This window comes from Homo sapiens, chromosome 4 (assembly GCF_000001405.40).
Source record: "Homo sapiens chromosome 4, GRCh38.p14 Primary Assembly".
In the NCBI taxonomy this organism is placed as follows: Eukaryota; Metazoa; Chordata; class Mammalia; order Primates; family Hominidae; genus Homo; species Homo sapiens.
Genome location: NC_000004.12, coordinates 7525022 through 7541615, shown reverse-complemented (window position 1 = coordinate 7541615; position 16594 = coordinate 7525022). Strand labels below are relative to the sequence as shown.

Sequence of the window (16594 nt, the reverse complement as noted above, 5' to 3'; positions counted from 1 at the left end):
TGAGGGAGAGGCCTGGCTGCCTGGGCGCCCCCGAGCAAGGCCCTGGCCACAGCTGTGAGCCACTGCCCATAAGCAAGCCTGGCTCAGGGCTCCTGAGTGATCGCCCCTCCTGAGGAGGCTAGGGATACCCCTCCTCTGATGGCCAGTCTTGCCCAGAGACCATCATCAGAGAATGATCTCAATTTGCAAATGCATGTCCATACAGAGCACTGGGAATCCTCCCTGGCAGCCCAAATTACCAGCAGAATGGAAAGTTAGCAAGGCTTCCCATGATGGTGGCAGCCCCAGCATGTGCCCAGGTCCTGGGGTCCCACGAGGCACCCTGAGCTTGAGCACCATGGATGAGACTGTGTGCAAGGGTGCCACAATGGCGCCCACACCCCTACACCACCGGAGGCCACAGGTGCACGCATGGCAGCCCTGCAGCAGCCCAGGCCCAGACATGGCACCCTTTGGCTCCCCTCCCGAAGTGTAATGCCAGTCTCACCCTCACTTCCCATCACAGGGAGACAGAAAGGATGGGTTGGCTTTCAGGAGTGTCAGTCCATGGTCATGACAGATGGCAGGTCCAGGGTAAGAGACAGAAGGGATAGTTTGGTCCTGTCTGAGCCCCAGCTGTGTGCCTGGCATTGTACCCCCATGCCTCACGCACTGGCTCTGACCTGAGGGCAGCCTCGTGGGTGGGGCGCTGGCCGGTTCCCTTGGCCACTTTACGACACTGATTGCCAGGGCCAGGCCTGAGCTGCTGAGTCAGGCATCCTCCCATTTAACAGTCCACATGACCAGATGAGGTGGGTAATGTTCATCCCCACTTCACACCCGGGGTGCGGGGGGCAGGGGGGTCGGAAAGCCAGGAAATAGGGAACCTGGGGTTGAGTCTCCGTAAAGCCTGTTCTCCCCACTCTGTCTCCCCCGCCCTCCCTCATGACTCTCTTCATCAGATGTGTGGGCCGGGGAGCGGGTGATGCTGGCCAGACCCTCGGGAGGAAGAACTGCGCAGCAGGATGCAGCGCAGCGCCAAAGCATCTCGGCACCATGGGACCATGCAGCCTGGCTCTCGCTGCTCAGAACGCCTTAAGGGCAAAGCCGTGAAGCGCAAGGGCAGATTCTGGGACTTCCCAAGCTACTGCACACAGAGTGTGGGTCCCACAAAGCACAGGCGGTGGCAAAGCAGCCACAGGGTGCTGCCATCCCCCGCTGGACATAGTACATGACTCACAGGGTTTCCTAGCCACAGAAGAAGGCTGGGGTCCTATGTCCACGGGACCCGGGCTAATCTCAGCTGCCTCTGAGCACCATCATGCACAGCTCAGGTCCAGAAGGAGAGGAAGGAAAACCCTAGGCGGGCCAAGAGGTCAGCAGTTGGCAGGAAGGAGAGGCAGGGGCAGGGAGAGGCAGAGGCAGGGGCAGGGAGGGGCAGGGAGGGGCAGGGAGGGGCAGGGAGGGGCAGGGAGAGGCAGGGGCGGGGAGGGGCAGGGCCCTCATAGCAGGGAGGGAGTGGGGCCCCACAGCACAAAGGGGGCGGGGCCTCCATAACAGGAGGGGCGGGGCCTCCACGACAGGCAGGGGGTGGGGCCTCCACAGCAGAAAGGGGGCGGGGCCTCCATAACAGGGAGGGAGTGGGGCCTTTGCAACAGGAAGGGGCGGTGCCATCACAGCAGGGAGGGGGTGAGACCTTCACAGCAGGAAGGGGGTGGGGCCTCCACAACAGGGAGTGGGCGTGGCCCCCACAGCAGGGAGGGGATGGGGCTTCCACAGCAGGAATGGGGCGGAGCAGCCACAACAGGAAGGGGTGGGGCCTCCACAGCAGGAAGGAGGCAGAGCATCCACAACAGGAAGGGGTGGGGCCCTCACAGCAGGGATGGGGTGGGGCCGCCACAGCAGGAAGGGGCGGGGCCTCCACAGCAGGAAGGGGCGGGGCCTCCATAACGGGGGTCGGGGCCTTGCAGCTGGGAAGGAGTTTGTAGGGCTGAAGGCAGGGGTTCAGAGTGGAGGGAAGAGAGTGAGACAGAGAGAGTGAGAGACAAAGAGAAGGAAGAAAACAAGGAGGGAGGGAGAGGGAGCCATTAGAGCCCAGTGTGGTGGGGAAGCCAGCCAGCTACCCTACACATGGGTGGGAGAGAGACCCACAGACAAAGAGCAGAACAAAGTACTGGACTTCTGTGTTCTGGCAAGCACACAGAGTCCACAGGAAGCGGACATGGGCACAGCCTCAAGAGGAGCCTGGGACTTGGCTCGGCCTGAATGGCACAGTCCTGTGAAGCTGGGGCCTGGAGAGCAGGTGGTACCACCACCCCGTGTTCCTGGTGAGGACTATGAGGTCCAGAGAACTTGGGAACCTGTCTTAGTGGGTCCACAGCTCCAGGATCTGTGCCCCATCCCTCAGGTTTCCTCCTGGGGGGCAGGGCCCTGTGCCCAAAGCACAGGCTTTTGGTGTCTGTACAGAGCTGCTGGAAGGCTTTGGGGGGTGGTGACAGGGCAGCACTGATGGGGCCCTTAGACCTGGGGCGCGTCCTGGTTCAGCAGCCCACCGGCTATGGGGCCTGGGGGAAACAACTTGGCCTCTCTGGGCCTCAATTTCTTTCACCTGTGCAATGGCCCATGAGCATCCTTACCCTGCAGGGCTGCTGTAGAGATTAGAGAACAGGGCTGAACTTTCATAAAAGGCCTTCAGGACACAGGGCCATGCTTTATCATGACCACACCGCCTCTGCCAAGTGGAGGTTTTCACTTTCCGCAATACTTTGAGCTTCTTAAAAACAAAATTTTCACTTGATTCATTGCTCAGTCCTGAGTGCTTACTAACACGTGGCAGTTCCCCTACGAAGACACGGGCGAGTGAGCGGAATGAGGGAAGAGGTGAACTCAGGGAGATTTTGTCCTAACCCTGTGCTTCTCATATCTGGGGTCAAGGGCCCGGGTGATATGGTGGGTGGGCCAGGGTGTCCCAGGACTTGGCCTTCTCCCAGATCACCAGCTTGACATAAAGATTTTTTGGTGAAAATGTGTGTGTGTGTGTGTGTGTGTGATTTTAATATTCAAGCCAACACTGATATATAATGGAGTAAGATGCCCATTCACATAAATTTTTCATATAAAACACAATGCTTGGAAGAAATTCCATGCCTGGGCCAGCTCCTCTGGGCCGTGCCTTCACACTTCCCCATGCCACAGGGCTCCTGGGGCCAAGTGGGAAGGAAACCTGCTGTCGGCCCGAAGCTGATCTGAGCATTGCAGGGGATGTGTGGGGGTCGTCAGGGCCCCCAGGGCCTTGGGTCCAGCCATGACAATAGTAGGCTGCCTGGCCAGGAGCAGCAAGGCCAGGGACTGCTGATTCTGCTGCAGGCGAGACAAAAATAAAAGGGAATTCATTCCCTAAGACAGGTTGCAAAGTGGTCTCCAAGAAGCTATAAAGTGCTGCTCGGCCTGTAATTGTTGCTAAATGGAGTCCTAATAGTATTCACGTCTTCCTGCAAAACCTATCCATTATCCAATAACAGAGAGGCAGACCTGGCAAGGCACACACTCATGCAACTGCCCCTGTAAACAAAGTGATCTTTTCCCAATCAGAGTCACCCGGGTCAATCCTCTATTGGCTAAAGGCTGACTTTGCCCCCTTTTCTTTCTTTTGAGACAGTGTCTCACTGTGTCGCCCAACCTGGAGTGTAGTGGTGGGATCATAGATCACGGCAGGCTCAACCTCTTGGGCTCAATCCATCTTCCCACCTCAGCCTCCTGAGTAGCTGGGACCATACGTGCCAGGCCTGGCTATTTTTTATTTTTATGTTTTTATGTTGGCCAGGCTGGTCTCAAACTCCTGGGCTCAAGCGATGCTCCAGCCTCTGCTCCCAAAGTGCTGGGATCACAGGTGTGAGACACTGCATCCGGCCGCCCTTTTCTCATTCTTTCTATAAACTTGCAGCAGAGAGATTCAGTTTCTCAGGGCCCCACCAGACCCTCAGAGGCTCTAGAAGGTTAGAGCTGTTTGTCCAGTTCACCTTTGCTCCCCAGTGCCCAGCAAGGGACCCAGTGCATAGTAGGTACATAATCTGTATCTGCTCTCTATAAGACTGGACAAAGCAAAGGGCTCTCTCTCTCTAGCACCAAGCACACAGCCCAGCACCTAGTAGGGTCTCACCCCCATTTCTGCTGAATGGGTGGGTGTGGGTGTTGGGAGGGGCTTAGAGACCCCGTTCAAGCTGCCCTCTCACCACGAAGATGGCCTGGGCACAGGGTAGATGGAGCCAAGTCAGGATCTGCCCACAGGCATCCTCTTTCATGGCTGCTACTCTTCCCAGAGGATCGCCCTGGGAGACCAGGAGAAGCTAGGATAGTGGAGCTTGAAGGGGGTTTGGAGAGCCTTCAATTCAGCTGCTTCATCTAAGGGATGGGGAAACTGAGGCCCAGAGAGGAAATGGGATCTGCCCAGAGTTACACAGCTCAGCAGCCCCCAGACTGCGCCCGGTGTGCAGTAAGGAGCTGCTGATTTCTAGCCCCCAGCCAAGCGGGCCGGGCTGTGCTTGCGCAGACACAGGGAGCCCCATCAGCTTGCTAGAACTTAGCTGCAAGGGTGCCTCAGGAGCCCGGAGCATGACAAGGGGTACTCTAGGGGCTGGCAGGCCTGGGTTCAAGCACCATGTGTCAGTGATTGCTTCTGTTCTCTCTACCGGCTGGGTGACCTTGGAAGACTCTCCGAGCTTCCCTGAGCCTCCATTTTCTGCTCTGGCTAATGGAAGTGAACAAATGGTGACCTCGAGGTGGGCCCTGCCCGCCCCCCCCCCCCACATCTGAGTATGGGGACATCCGCTTCTGGCCGAAAGTGTGATACACCAAAAATGATCACCGAGGGGGTAGCAGAAGGGATCAAGAAACTCCAAGTAGATAAGTTTCATGCAATGATAAAGGCCATTTTTGCTTCATATTACATTGAAATATCTTTCCCAGAAGTGTCCCAGCCCAGCCCATCACATCCTTCTCTCGTGAGTTCTGTTTGAGTGCCAGGGGCCGTGCACGGCTGAGGAGTAGGGAGGAATCACGCCTGACCTCTGCCCCACAGTCATGGGCTGCTCTTGTTCCCTAGGACCACCATGCAGGTGTCTGAAGACCAGCCCTGTACCTCCTGAGTCTCTTCTTCTGCCTTAACCAGCTTCTCTGGCTTGCCCCACTCCTTACTTGACATGTAAAGTCAAATTTGTTTTATGTGGAATCGTAACTATGGCTTTTCAGCATCTAAATGCATTTAAAACCAAATCAGCCCGAGTTCCCACTTGTTGCAAAGACCACTATCAAACTGTGTGCCGGGCTTGATTCTAGGTACCGTATATGCATTAACCCAGGTAATCCTTATTCACCACCGCAACCCCACTCTACAGACAAGGAACTGAGGTGCAGGCAGATTAGGAACTTGCCTACAGTTTGTACCACTAGAGAAGGAACAGTGGAGCCTGCTGCCTAGAGCTTGGGCCCTCTGATGCCCTCGGCCTCTGAGTCCACGTGCTCTCTGGCCCTCCCTGACCTGCGTCCCTAGCCCCACTCAGCACGTGGCCCGTCCACACCTCTGCAGACAGGAGCCAATGTTTCATTCTCCTGAGGCAGAAGCGCACTGCCAGCAGCATCACAGGGAAACATATGCCGCCCTGTTAGTTAGATAACAAATCGCTGCCCCGGTTCCCATCACTGATAATTAATTTGTTCTCTAAACACAGAGGTGTGGGCGGGACATGCCACGAGCAAGCAGCCTGACCCGGGCCTGAGGGAACCAGGTGGGTGCAGATCAGCAGGGCCAGGGCAATGCCCCCCATGCCTGGCACAGCCACCAGGTGAGGCCTCTGTTCCATGGCCATGTGTGGTCCCTCCAACAGACACAGCCCACTGGGGCCACACGTGTGAGGCTTTGTCACCCTGCAGCCAGTTCCTAACCTAAAGTCTCAGATGGCTGGCCAGGAGGGCGTCAGTGTTTCCCTCTAAGGATAACGGTGGGTCACACGAGTAACTCATGGGGTCTTCCCTCGGGCCAGGCCCGGATCTGAGCACTTGACAAGGAGCACCTCATTAATTCCATCAGCCTTACAGTATAGATGCTGCTACTACCCCCATTTCACCAATGAGGAAGCCCAGAACAAGGGCGGTTCACACTTGCTCAAGGTCTCAGAGCGGGTAGGCTACAGGGCCAGACTCAGACCCAGGAACAGGCCCCTATGCCCCAGCCAGAGAAGCCAGGGGGTCAGCCTCTCATCCCATTCCCCTGCCGCTCCCCGGTGCCCCACATCCGCTGCACTCCTGGCCCCGCACCGTAACTGCCCTGCCTGCCTCCGAGACAGCAGTTCCTGCAGCATCAGGGGCTTTGGAAGCAACAAGTTCAGATTCAGCAAGGCCCTTGGTGGGCCTCCTGGTGCCTCCAACCTAGGGGATCATGGCCTTCCGGAGAGAGATCAGTTTTGTCCTGTGGTGAGGAGGTGGGCAGGGAGAGGTGAGAACAGGCCCAAACCGGGGCACCCAGAAGCCCAGCCCTGTCTGCACCTGTGACTTTGCTCCTGCCACCTGGGGTCCAACAGGAATCAGGATCGGTGTGTCAGCAGGAGGAGGAGGGCCCACGGGAGGCCAGTTCCATCTGGGTGGCTGTGGGGTGGGCAGAACAATGTGGGTGAGGGGAGAGCAGGAGCCTCGGCCTCCCTACTCCCAGCCCCAACCCCTGCAGCCCCTCCTCAAAACAGCAGCTGTGTCAGCCTCCTGTGGCTGCTGCAACAAATCACCATGCACTCCGTGGCTTGAAGCAATAGAAATTCATTTTCCTCTGGCCATGGAGGGCACAAAGCTGAAGGCAAGGTGTTGGCAGGGCTGGTTCCTCTGGAGGCTCCAGTGGCAAGTCCATTTCCTTGGCTTTTCCAACTTCTTTCCGGAGGCGCCTGCTTTCCTTGGCTTGTGGCCCCAACCAGGCCCTGCCCCAGCCTCTGCTCCATCTCCCAGCTCCCCCTGCAGGCCTGGCCCTCCTGCTGCCCTCCACAAGGACCCTGTGATGACACTGAGCTGATCCCACTCAGACAACCCAGGAGAACCTTCCCATCACAACATCCTCCACTTAATCCCATTTGCAAAGTCCCTTTTGCCATAGAGGTGACATTCACACGTTCCAGGGGTCGGGACTGGGACATCTTTGGGGGCTTCTCTTCAGCTGACAGTAAATGGTAATTTTGAGTGAGGCTCTGCCAGGCACTCACCTGTCAAGCCCACCCTTGATCACTGTCCCCTTTACAGGTGAGACACCTGTGGCTCCCTGATGGGGGGGGACCTGGCAGAGCTGGACTGAGGATAGGGACTCCCCAGCACAGGCACTGTCCTCTACACCACCCTGCAAATCCAGTGTCTGCACCCAGGCAAACCTGATGCGGCTACAGTGTCCACTCGGCAGCACACACTGTTTGTGACACTCATTCATTCACTCATTCATTCATCCCATTCCTTTAAAGTCAGCTGAGCCTCTGTGCTGGGTGCCAGGCCACCATCAGACCCAATCCTGTACCCGCAGTGATATTTCTAGGCTAAATGTCCAAACTCCTGGCTCTGAAATCCAGCCTGTGCCCAGGGATTCAAATAACCTGTCTCAGGGCTTGTCTGCTTTCAAGACTGCAGATACCTCCCCGGTGCTGCCTGTAGAGGAAGTTCTATTGAGCACCCCACATCGCAGCCCCAGCCTTTGGCCCGCACAGAAGGCCCAGTGCTGCCTAGGAACCCCTCTGCTGATCCCCTGTGCATTCTATGTATCATCTCATGGGCCCTTCCACCTGCCCGCTTTACAGGCCAGGAAACTGAGGCTCAGCGGAGGTCACGGCCATGTCCCCAGGTTGCTGCATGCAGAAGCAGCTCTGTCTGACCTCACACTGTCTGACCCAGTCTCCATGTGACACCTTGCCTGACCTCAGGGCCTCAGAGTCTCTCTTGGTTCCGTTACTGCCCCTGTTGCCTTGCCCTTCACATTTCCAAACACAGACGTGGCCTGCAGGGCTGACCCTGGAGGTACCATCACATCCCAGGTGCCTGTGGACCCTCCCAGCTGGTGACCAGAAAGACAGGAGCGGAGTGTCCCCTGCATGGAGTGGAGAAGGGCAGCCGCTGGAAGGCCACCAGGACCAGATCGGCTGGATGGACAGGAACTCGAAGCTGGGCCAGGAGGTGGGGGGCGTGGCCTCCTCTATTGCCAGCTGGAATCTGGGGTCAGTGTGGGCCCTCATCTGGGTCAGCGCCAGCCCCCAGCCACTCATCTTTGTCTCAAATTTGAATCACAGCAACCCCAGGAAGAAGGGGTGATGGTCGGGCTGGAAGGCAGAGTGTCTGCCCCTGCTTCCATAGGGTTTGGGTTTTCCAGCAGGTACAGGCCTCACTGCTGCCAAGCCTGGACAACACCCTCCACCCTCAGCTTTGGGCTCGGTGAAGCTGGGTTCAAATCCAGGCCCCCTGCACCACCAGGTGTGAGACTGAGCAAATCTCACCTCTCTCGTCCAATGTCCTGCCCTGGAAAGGGGGATAATGATGCCTCCCTCTTTGGGCTGCTGTGGGATGGAAAGAGATCGGGTGTGTGAATCCCCAGGGCTGGGGCTGGGAAGAAGCAGGGGCTGGCTCAGGTCAACCCACCTCTCTTCCCTACACGCCGAGACATGGCCTTCCAGCAGGCGCCTCTCGTGTCCCCAGGGCCAGGTCTCCCTCACCTCCCCTCTGTAGCCCTCCCCACCTCTGCATTCCAAGTCTGTCCAGCTGGAAGCTCCTACAGCAGAAATCAAGAAGAGAAAAAAACGAAACAAAACAAAACAAAAACAGCAAAGCAACCTGCTTTAGGAAGAGAGAGGACATCCCATGAACAAACGTGGCTGAGACCACCGAGACGGCCCAATCAAGGCTGCACGCATCTCAGCCCCCTCGTTCCATAGACTGCTGCTGCCAGGCCTGTGGTCTCAGCAGAAGCTGCCAAGCTCCAGTGCGCCCAGCTCCTCTGAGCCCCTGTGAACCTGCCACCAGCGCAACCATCGAAACACTCCAGCACCCTTGGAATCATCACCATCCCGCACAACTCCCTTTCTGGATGTTCTGTTGATTCATGGACATTCTCACAGACTCCAAGCTGCTCAGATTTCTCCTTCAAAGTCACCATTAGAGCTGAGCACAGGGGCCTGTGTGCCCACCTCATGCCGAGCATCATGCAGGGGCTCTGGGTGCCTGATCCTAGAGCTCACAATTCCCTGTGCGAGGTGTGGGTGACATCCCATTTGAGGAAACTGGGGCACAGAGAGGGGAGCTGGGATGCAAACACTGGTCTGAGTCCCTTTCTGTGACCGTGAACTGCTTTGCTGAATGGAGTCAGGTTCACAGGACAGCTTTGCCCTGGTGCCTCTGCCGACCTTGATCTGGGCTCAGGGGGTGGGCCAGGACACAAACACACGTTTGCAGGAGGGCTCTTCTCACGGAACCCACGGTGGGTAGCCTCGGAAAGACCCCTCTCTCCTATTGTACAGCCAGCCAGAGAGCAAAGTCAGGAAGTTCCCCCAGACCCAGGAAACAGCAAGGAGAGCTCAGATGGAAATCATAGCATAATCAAAACCGGATCAACAACTAACTTCCGAAGAACGGGCCTGCTCAGCACTGCCTTCCGAGGGCTCCCAGCCCAAGAGAGCTGCTGCTGTCTCTGCTTCCAGGCCCACAGCTCCTCCCTGCTGTGCTCTGATGGATGCATGCCCCCACCCCAACCAGCGGGAAGACAAATGTGCCCTAGGTATGCAGGCGGTGCCTTCCTCCAAAGCCTGGCCTCTGGTTTAAAGCACAGAATGGTGTCAGGTAGCACCGGGAAGGGTGGCAGTGAGAGCTGGGAGGGAAACATCTCACACTCCGGCCTGGGCCAAAGTAGGAGACAGCAGGGCAGGGCAGCAGCTTCCTTGCTCTGCAGAGTGAGCGGCACAAGGCGAGAGCCAGAGTGGCGGCCACCCCCAGCCAGCACCTACCTTCCTCTTGTTGGTCGGGCAGATGTAGAAATTGTCGATGACGGTGGTGACACCAGGCTGGAGGGTGAGCTTGGTGTAGGACGTCCCGAAATCTGATGACCTGGGGGAAAAGGGGGACAGCCGTCAGCCATGTACCCTCCAAGTGTGGCCTTCGTCAGCCCACACGGTGTCCAGCCCCTGCCCTGTGCCCGTGCGGGCCGAGTGCCCCAGACACCCTGAGTACAGTCCTGGGCACTCTGCCTGGGGGCAGTGTATGCCGACAAGGCAGGAGAGGAGACTGGGCTCTCTCAGGAACACTGAGGACTCACACAGGTGTGGAGCTTAGGTCCAGAGCTAGGATCCAAAGTCAGGTCCTTCTGACTCCAAATCCCAGCCAGTCATTCCTCCCCCATGCCTCCTATGAGCCGGGCAGCTCTAGGTTACCACATGCATCTCACAGGTGACCAGAGAAGCCTCCAAAGGGATAGTTCACTGCCTGAAATCACTTAGTTAATAAGTGGCTGACTCAGGATTTGACTGGCCCGTCTGATTTCAGGCTGGTGGCTGTGCCGAGGCATTCCTGTGGCCTATCTGCTTGCCTCTTTCCCTCTCTGGACTCTGAGCTCCTCCAGGGAGCCCCATCCTCCACCCTGGCCACCACCTGCAGCACAGGATGGTAGGAGACCGCAGGCAGGTACCAGAGTTCGGGCAGCTGCTGGAAATCAGACCCCAAGCACTATGCCCGCCCTGGAGTGGCATCTGCTGGACTCGTGCTGGGAGACAGGGCTGTCCACTCGGTACCTCCTTGGGCAAGGCCCTCCTGGCCAAGTGAGAATCTGAGAGTACACTGAGCTTTAAAGCGCCTTGGCTGCCCAGCAAGAAGAGGGAGATAAGCCACAAAGGCAACTTCATATCTGTTGTTTGGAAGCCATCCATCCATCAGGATATGGAATTAATTCTCCATTGAAGATTAAGTCCCAGAGATCCTGAAACCAACACCTCTTATCATCAGCCATTAAAATATACTGGGATTGCAGGATATGCCCCGACTGTACTGGAGAGGATCAGAGGTGCTCGGGGAAGCATTTCACATCTCACCCCTGCTCTATCGATGCAGAATCCAGACACAGACCCAAGGTGGGGAGAGGCACAGGGGTGGAACACACGGCCGTGGGGCTCCTGTCGTGGGCAGCATGCCTTGTGGGGCTTCCCCATGTCTGATCACTGCTGAGCTATGCTGAGCTCAGGGGACTGGGGGCAACTCTCCAGCTTGGGCAAGGGGGCCTTGGGCTGGAGCCAGGCTTCAGTGCTCCTGCCTCAGACCCCAGCACCTGGCTCTGAGCCCGGCCTGCACTGACGTGTGTGGCCTGACTGTGGGGCCAGTGCTTCTCAGACTCACCTAGTTTGTCCTCTGGGGGCCGAGGGGACAGGCCTGGAGCTGCTTTAGCATAAAGGCCCCACCCCACTGGGAGCTATTTCACGCCCTTCTAGAACACATCTTTGGTGGTTTCTACTTGGAGACGTTTCCTCCCTACATCTTCAAGTGAACCTGAGGCTCCAGAAAAATGGACTGTTTATCATCTCTGGGCATGCTGGCCACGTGGCCACAGGTCCCCAGAATGTGTGTCCCTCACAGTCCTCAGGGTCACAAGGTTTCTCCTAGGCCAGGACAAAGAGCAGACCCCCAACCCCCAGCCCTCTAACTCCCAGGGGCCAGCCCCTCCCCAGGATGGCGGGGGGCCTCAGGACCTGTCTGGCCTCTGTCTGCCCCTGGTCTCCCCAGGGAGGACCAGGCTGGAGTGAACAAAGAAGCCCAGTGGAGGTATAATTAGGACGCACTTACTCTCAAATCTCAGAGAATTGATTTTCTTTGGGAAGGACGCAGAGAGAGGCCCATTAGCAGAGGATCGATCTGATCCAGAGACCCAGAAAATTCCAAGGCCCTTGCAGAAACAAATGGTTGTGTTTACGAGCCTGACACAGGGGAAGCCTCCCCTTCCTTCCCCACCCTGCTGAGCCATCTCCAAGACCTGCCTATCGATCCCGCCTCCCAAATACCTCTCAATCCTCTCTTCCCTTCACTCCCAGCTCTGCTCGCCTTAGCCCAGCATCCAGCCTGGCCTCAGTCCTGCTCCCCGCCCTGGGCCAGAGGAGCCTGCTCATACCTGCAAACTCCAGAGCTCCTGCCAGGAGTGGCCTGCAGCTAGGAGCCCATGAGCAAAGCCCCTGCTCTCTAGGAACGTCTGTTCTAGGAGGGGAGATGGAAGGAGGCAGATGGACGATAAGGAAAGAAGCAAAAATACAACAGCATCAAATGTGATGAGGGTGGGAAGAAGAATCAACGGTGTAGGGGTGCGGGTGGAGGGTGAGGGAGGGGTGGTGGGGCCGCTGGGTTGCAGACAGAGTGGTAGAAAGTCCCCTTAGACAAGGTGATGTTTGCACAGAGTCTGGAAGGAAGGAGAGAGGTTGTGCCTGGCTGGGGAAAGGCATTTGGACGGGCTTGAGTAGTGTTCCCCAAATTCCTGTGCACCCAGAACCCATGAGTGTGGATTTATTTGGAAACAGGGTCTCTGCAGATGCAATTAGTTAAGATGAGGTCATGCTGGGTGAGGGTGGGCCCTGAGTCCTGTATGGCTGGTGTTATAAGAATTTGGAAATTGGGACACAGACACAGAGAAGGCCGCGCACAGACAGAGGCAAAGTGAGGTGATGTGGCCGCAGGCCAAGGGTACCAAGGACCTGGGCAGCCACCGGATGCTGGGAGAGAGGCAGGGGGCAGAGGCTCCCTCAGAGCCTCTGAAAAAAACACTCTCAGATTTCTGACCTCCAGGACCCCGAGAGAGAGTTCGCCACAGTGGTACTTTATGATGGCAGCTGCGTTCCAGGTACAAGGGCCCTGAGGACAAGGAAGTCAGGTCCATTTAAAACACAGTCCAGGCCAGGCACGGCGCCTCATGCCTGTAATCCCAGCACTTCAGGAGGCTGAGGCCTGAGGTCAGGAGTTTCAGACCAGACTGGCCAACATGGTGAAACCTCGTCTCTACTAAAAATACAAAAATTGGCCGGGCGAGGTGGCAGGCGCCTGTAATCCCAGGTACTCAGGAGGCTGAGGCACGAGAATCTCTTGAACCCAGGAGGTGGAGGTTGCAGTGAGCTGAGATCGCACCACTGCACTACAGCCTAGGTGACAGAGCAAGACTCCGTCTAAAAACAAACAAACAAACAAAAAACAACAACAAAAAAAAAAACGTAGCAGCTGCCAGTGCCTAGGAAGCCCCTCACCCTGCAGACAATGCAAACCCAATTCCTCAGATATCCACGACTCCCAAGTCCAACTCCTGCAGACACTAGGAACATTGATTCACCCACTCACCCATTCATTCCATTTGTTTAAATTTTTATGCTTTAAGGCCCATACTACGGGCCTAGGAATTCAAATTCACCCCCTCATTCAAATTCTTTCACATGATGTGTGCATACTGAGTACCTGCTGTGTGTCCCATCACTACACTGAGGCTGGAATCCATGGGCAGCGTGGACACTGTGCCCTGCTATCATGGGGGTGACAGGCTGGCTGGTGTTGGGGGGAGAGAGAGACAGAGAGAGACAGAGAGAGAGACAGAGACAGAGAGAGCACAAGGAGACAGACACTGCAGCCGGGAGCAGCGATGCCAACAGGCACGTCCAGAGAGTCCTGGGAGACGCTAAGGGGAACATCAAACTGAGGGGGTCCAGGTGCCATCCTCAGCCCCCCAGGCTGCCCCCACTGCCAGGTCTAATCCAGCACTGACCAGCTGACATTTCCTCCTAAAGCTTTTAAATTCCACCCCTACATCTCCCTGCTCACCTTAGTCTGGGTACCCTTCCTCTCTCATCTGTGCATAAGGAGCACCTGGCATGAGGGCCCCAGGCTCAGCGGAGGGGGCACAAACACTGGCAGGCTGACTTCACCTGGTGGGGGGGCCTGTGAGATTCCCATGGCTGCTGTAACAAAGGCCCACAGACTCAGCAGCTTAAAACCAGCCACATTCATTATCTACAGTTCTGGAGGGCAGGAGTCTGCAGGGGGTCTTACAGGGCTAATCAAGGTGTAGGCACCTCCTGGAAGCTCCAGAGGAGAACCCATGCCCTGTCTCTCCCACCTGCTAGCGACCTCCTGCAGTCCTCGCCCCGAGGCCCCGAGGCCCACTGCAGAGTCTATCGCTCCACTCTGCTTCCCGTCACAGCCTCCCGTCACAGCGCCGACTACCACAGTCTCACGTCCCTCTGGCTCCCTCCTTGTGATTACAAAGGCCCCACGAGGACAATCCAGGATAATCCCAAGATCCTTCATTTAATCCATCTGCAAAGTCCCCTTTGCCATGTAAGGTAGCATAGTCACAGTTTCCGGGGATTAGGACGTGGACGTCTGTGGGAGGCATTGCTCTGCCGACCACAAGTGGGCATTTGAGCCGGGTCCGAGGTATGTGTAGGAGCTGGTTCGGGAGCAGTGTCCCCACGTGAGCTGTGAGAGACAACAGGGCGGCCGGAGGTGGGTGGGGCGGGCGGTCCCCAGGGCCACAGAGAGGGCTGGACCCGCATTGTCGGGCAGCACCACTGACCCGCAGGGCCGCCTAGCACTAGAAATAGGGTGAATTCATTCGAATGGAGATGCCCTGGGACTATGAAATATACACTGATTTCAAAGACTTAGCATTAAAAAGAATGTAAAATATTTCATTATAATGTTTATATTGATTACATGTTGACATCATCTTTTGGATATATTGAGTTAATTAAAAGCTGTGATTAAAATTAATTTCACCTGTTCTTTATTTTAAACCCATAGGCTTTATTTCTTACAGCAGTTTTAGGTTCACAGCAAATGGAGTAGAAATGAGAGCATCCCCATACACCTTCGGCCCCCACCGTCAGCGCCCCCAGCTGAGAGACTCGCTCTTACAATCAGTGAGGGAGGCCGCCCTGACGCGACATTACCACCAGAGTGCAGAGTTCAGGTCAGGGCCAGCTGGGGGGCTCCTGAACTCTATGGGTCTGGGCACCTGTAGAATGACAGGGCCCCCCCAACTGTGGTATCATACGGAGCAGCGTCACTGCCCCAAGAATCCCCTGTTCTCCGCCGATTCATCCCCCTCACCCCGCCCGCCTCCTGGCAACCACCGATCCTTTTATCATCGTCATAGTTACGCCTTTTCCACAAGGTGATCTACCAGGAATCCTAGAGTTCACAGCCTTTTCATTTGGTTCCGTTCGCTTAGTGATAGCATTAAGGTCCTTCCACGCTTTTCCATGCCACCTGTTTCTCTTCACTTTTTAATGTGGCCACTAGAACATTTAGAAAGACCCCAATGGCTCCGATTCTATTCCTAAGGGACACGCCGGTCTGGACAACGTGCCAAGGCGATGGGCGTCTTCTGAAGGTGTGGGGCTCTGCAGTGGATGGGCACGTGACCCCTGGAAAATGCGGTCCCAGCAGATGAGCAAGTGACCATGTGGAATCTGCCTGAATGGCGCCTGGGTCGTGGCACCTGCATAGCAGGGCTCATCATTACTGCTGTTTGGGAAGAGTGCTGCAGTTGCAGGTGGGGACAGGTGACTGAGGAGGAGACAGGTGTGAGGAGGGGACAGGTGACTGAGGAGGGGACAGGTGACTGCAGGGGACAGGTGTGAGGAGGGGACAGGTGACTGAGAAGGGGACAGGTGACTGAGGAGGGGACAGGTGTGAGGAGGGGACAGGTGACTGCAGGAGGAGACAGGTGACTGAGGAGGGGACAGGTGACTGAGGAGGGGACAGGTGACTGCAGGAGGGCCCAGGTGACTGAGGGGACAGGTGACTGCAGGGAACAGGTATGAGGAGGGGACAGGTGACTGCAGGAGGGGACAGGTGATTGCAGGAGGGCACAGGTGACTGCAGGAGGGGACAGGTGACTGCAAGAAGGGACAAGTGACTGAGGTGGGGACAGGTGACTGAGTTGGGGACAGGTGACTGAGGAGGTGGAGGAGTGAGAGGAAGAATAGGATGTAGGCCCAGGAAGTGGAGTTGGCATGACTTGGGGCTGCCCGAGGTGTCAGGCTGAAGGAGGGGACACCAGGTGACATGGAAGATGGAGTGACACTGCTCAGGTGCCATGCTGCTTGGGGGAAGGTGGAGGGCTGGGCTGGGAGTCAGGACTGCCCCCGGGTGAAGCACGGTTGGGGGGTCTGGGCTCATGTCCGCCCACTGCTGCTCCCTGGGCAGCCCACTGTGGATTTTAACATTAGTTTTCTTCTTTGAGGCATCAGAGGATTGGAATCAGGCATCTTCAGGGTCCTTATCAACAAAAAAGGCTGTGACCACACATCCTTAACCTGCAGGCACCCCGCAAGTGTCCCTGTTGTCTAGCCTCCCAGAACCCCTTTCAAGAGACCTGAAAGGGATCCGTTCTTCCCAGAAGCCTCTTGCCCGGACTGTGTTTTCCTGGTGGGCAACTCAAGAGTCTCTCTCTCACTGCATTATTTCCTCTGAGCATCTGCTTCTCAGATAAGTAAGTGCAGCCATGATGATATCTAATGATGAAGATTTATTGCAAGGAACAAAGCTGGAGAACGCCCAGTGGGCGTGCCCGGCCTTTGCCTCTCCCCGCGCTGTG

General features: G+C 56.6%; 1 protein-coding gene across 8 annotated transcripts in view, besides 2 other annotated features; it reads right to left on the bottom strand.

Moving 5' to 3' along the window:
• Positions 1-16594, bottom strand: part of SORCS2 (sortilin related VPS10 domain containing receptor 2) — a 550290-nt gene that overhangs the window by 201212 nt on the left and 332484 nt on the right. For all 8 annotated transcript variants that reach the window (XM_005247987.5, XM_011513515.3, XM_011513516.3 and 5 more), the window contains exon 3: positions 9987-10086. In XM_005247987.5, coding sequence (XP_005248044.2) covers positions 9987-10086 — 100 coding nt within the window. The remainder of the gene's footprint in view (positions 1-9986; positions 10087-16594) is intronic.
• Positions 1057-1563: an enhancer, noted in NCBI's record as "H3K4me1 hESC enhancer chr4:7541780-7542286 (GRCh37/hg19 assembly coordinates)". NCBI's record gives its function as "activates a minimal SCP1, AML or CMV promoter by ChIP-STARR-seq in primed H9 embryonic stem cells {active_cell/tissue: H9 hESC(primed)}" and the evidence as "EXISTENCE:reporter gene assay evidence [ECO:0000049][PMID:30033119]".
• Positions 1580-1874: an enhancer, noted in NCBI's record as "tiled region #5388; HepG2 Activating DNase unmatched - State 9:DNaseU, and K562 Activating DNase matched - State 10:DNaseD". NCBI's record gives its function as "activates a minimal TATA promoter and a strong SV40 promoter by Sharpr-MPRA in HepG2 and K562 cells {active_cell/tissue: HepG2 | K562}" and the evidence as "EXISTENCE:reporter gene assay evidence [ECO:0000049][PMID:27701403]".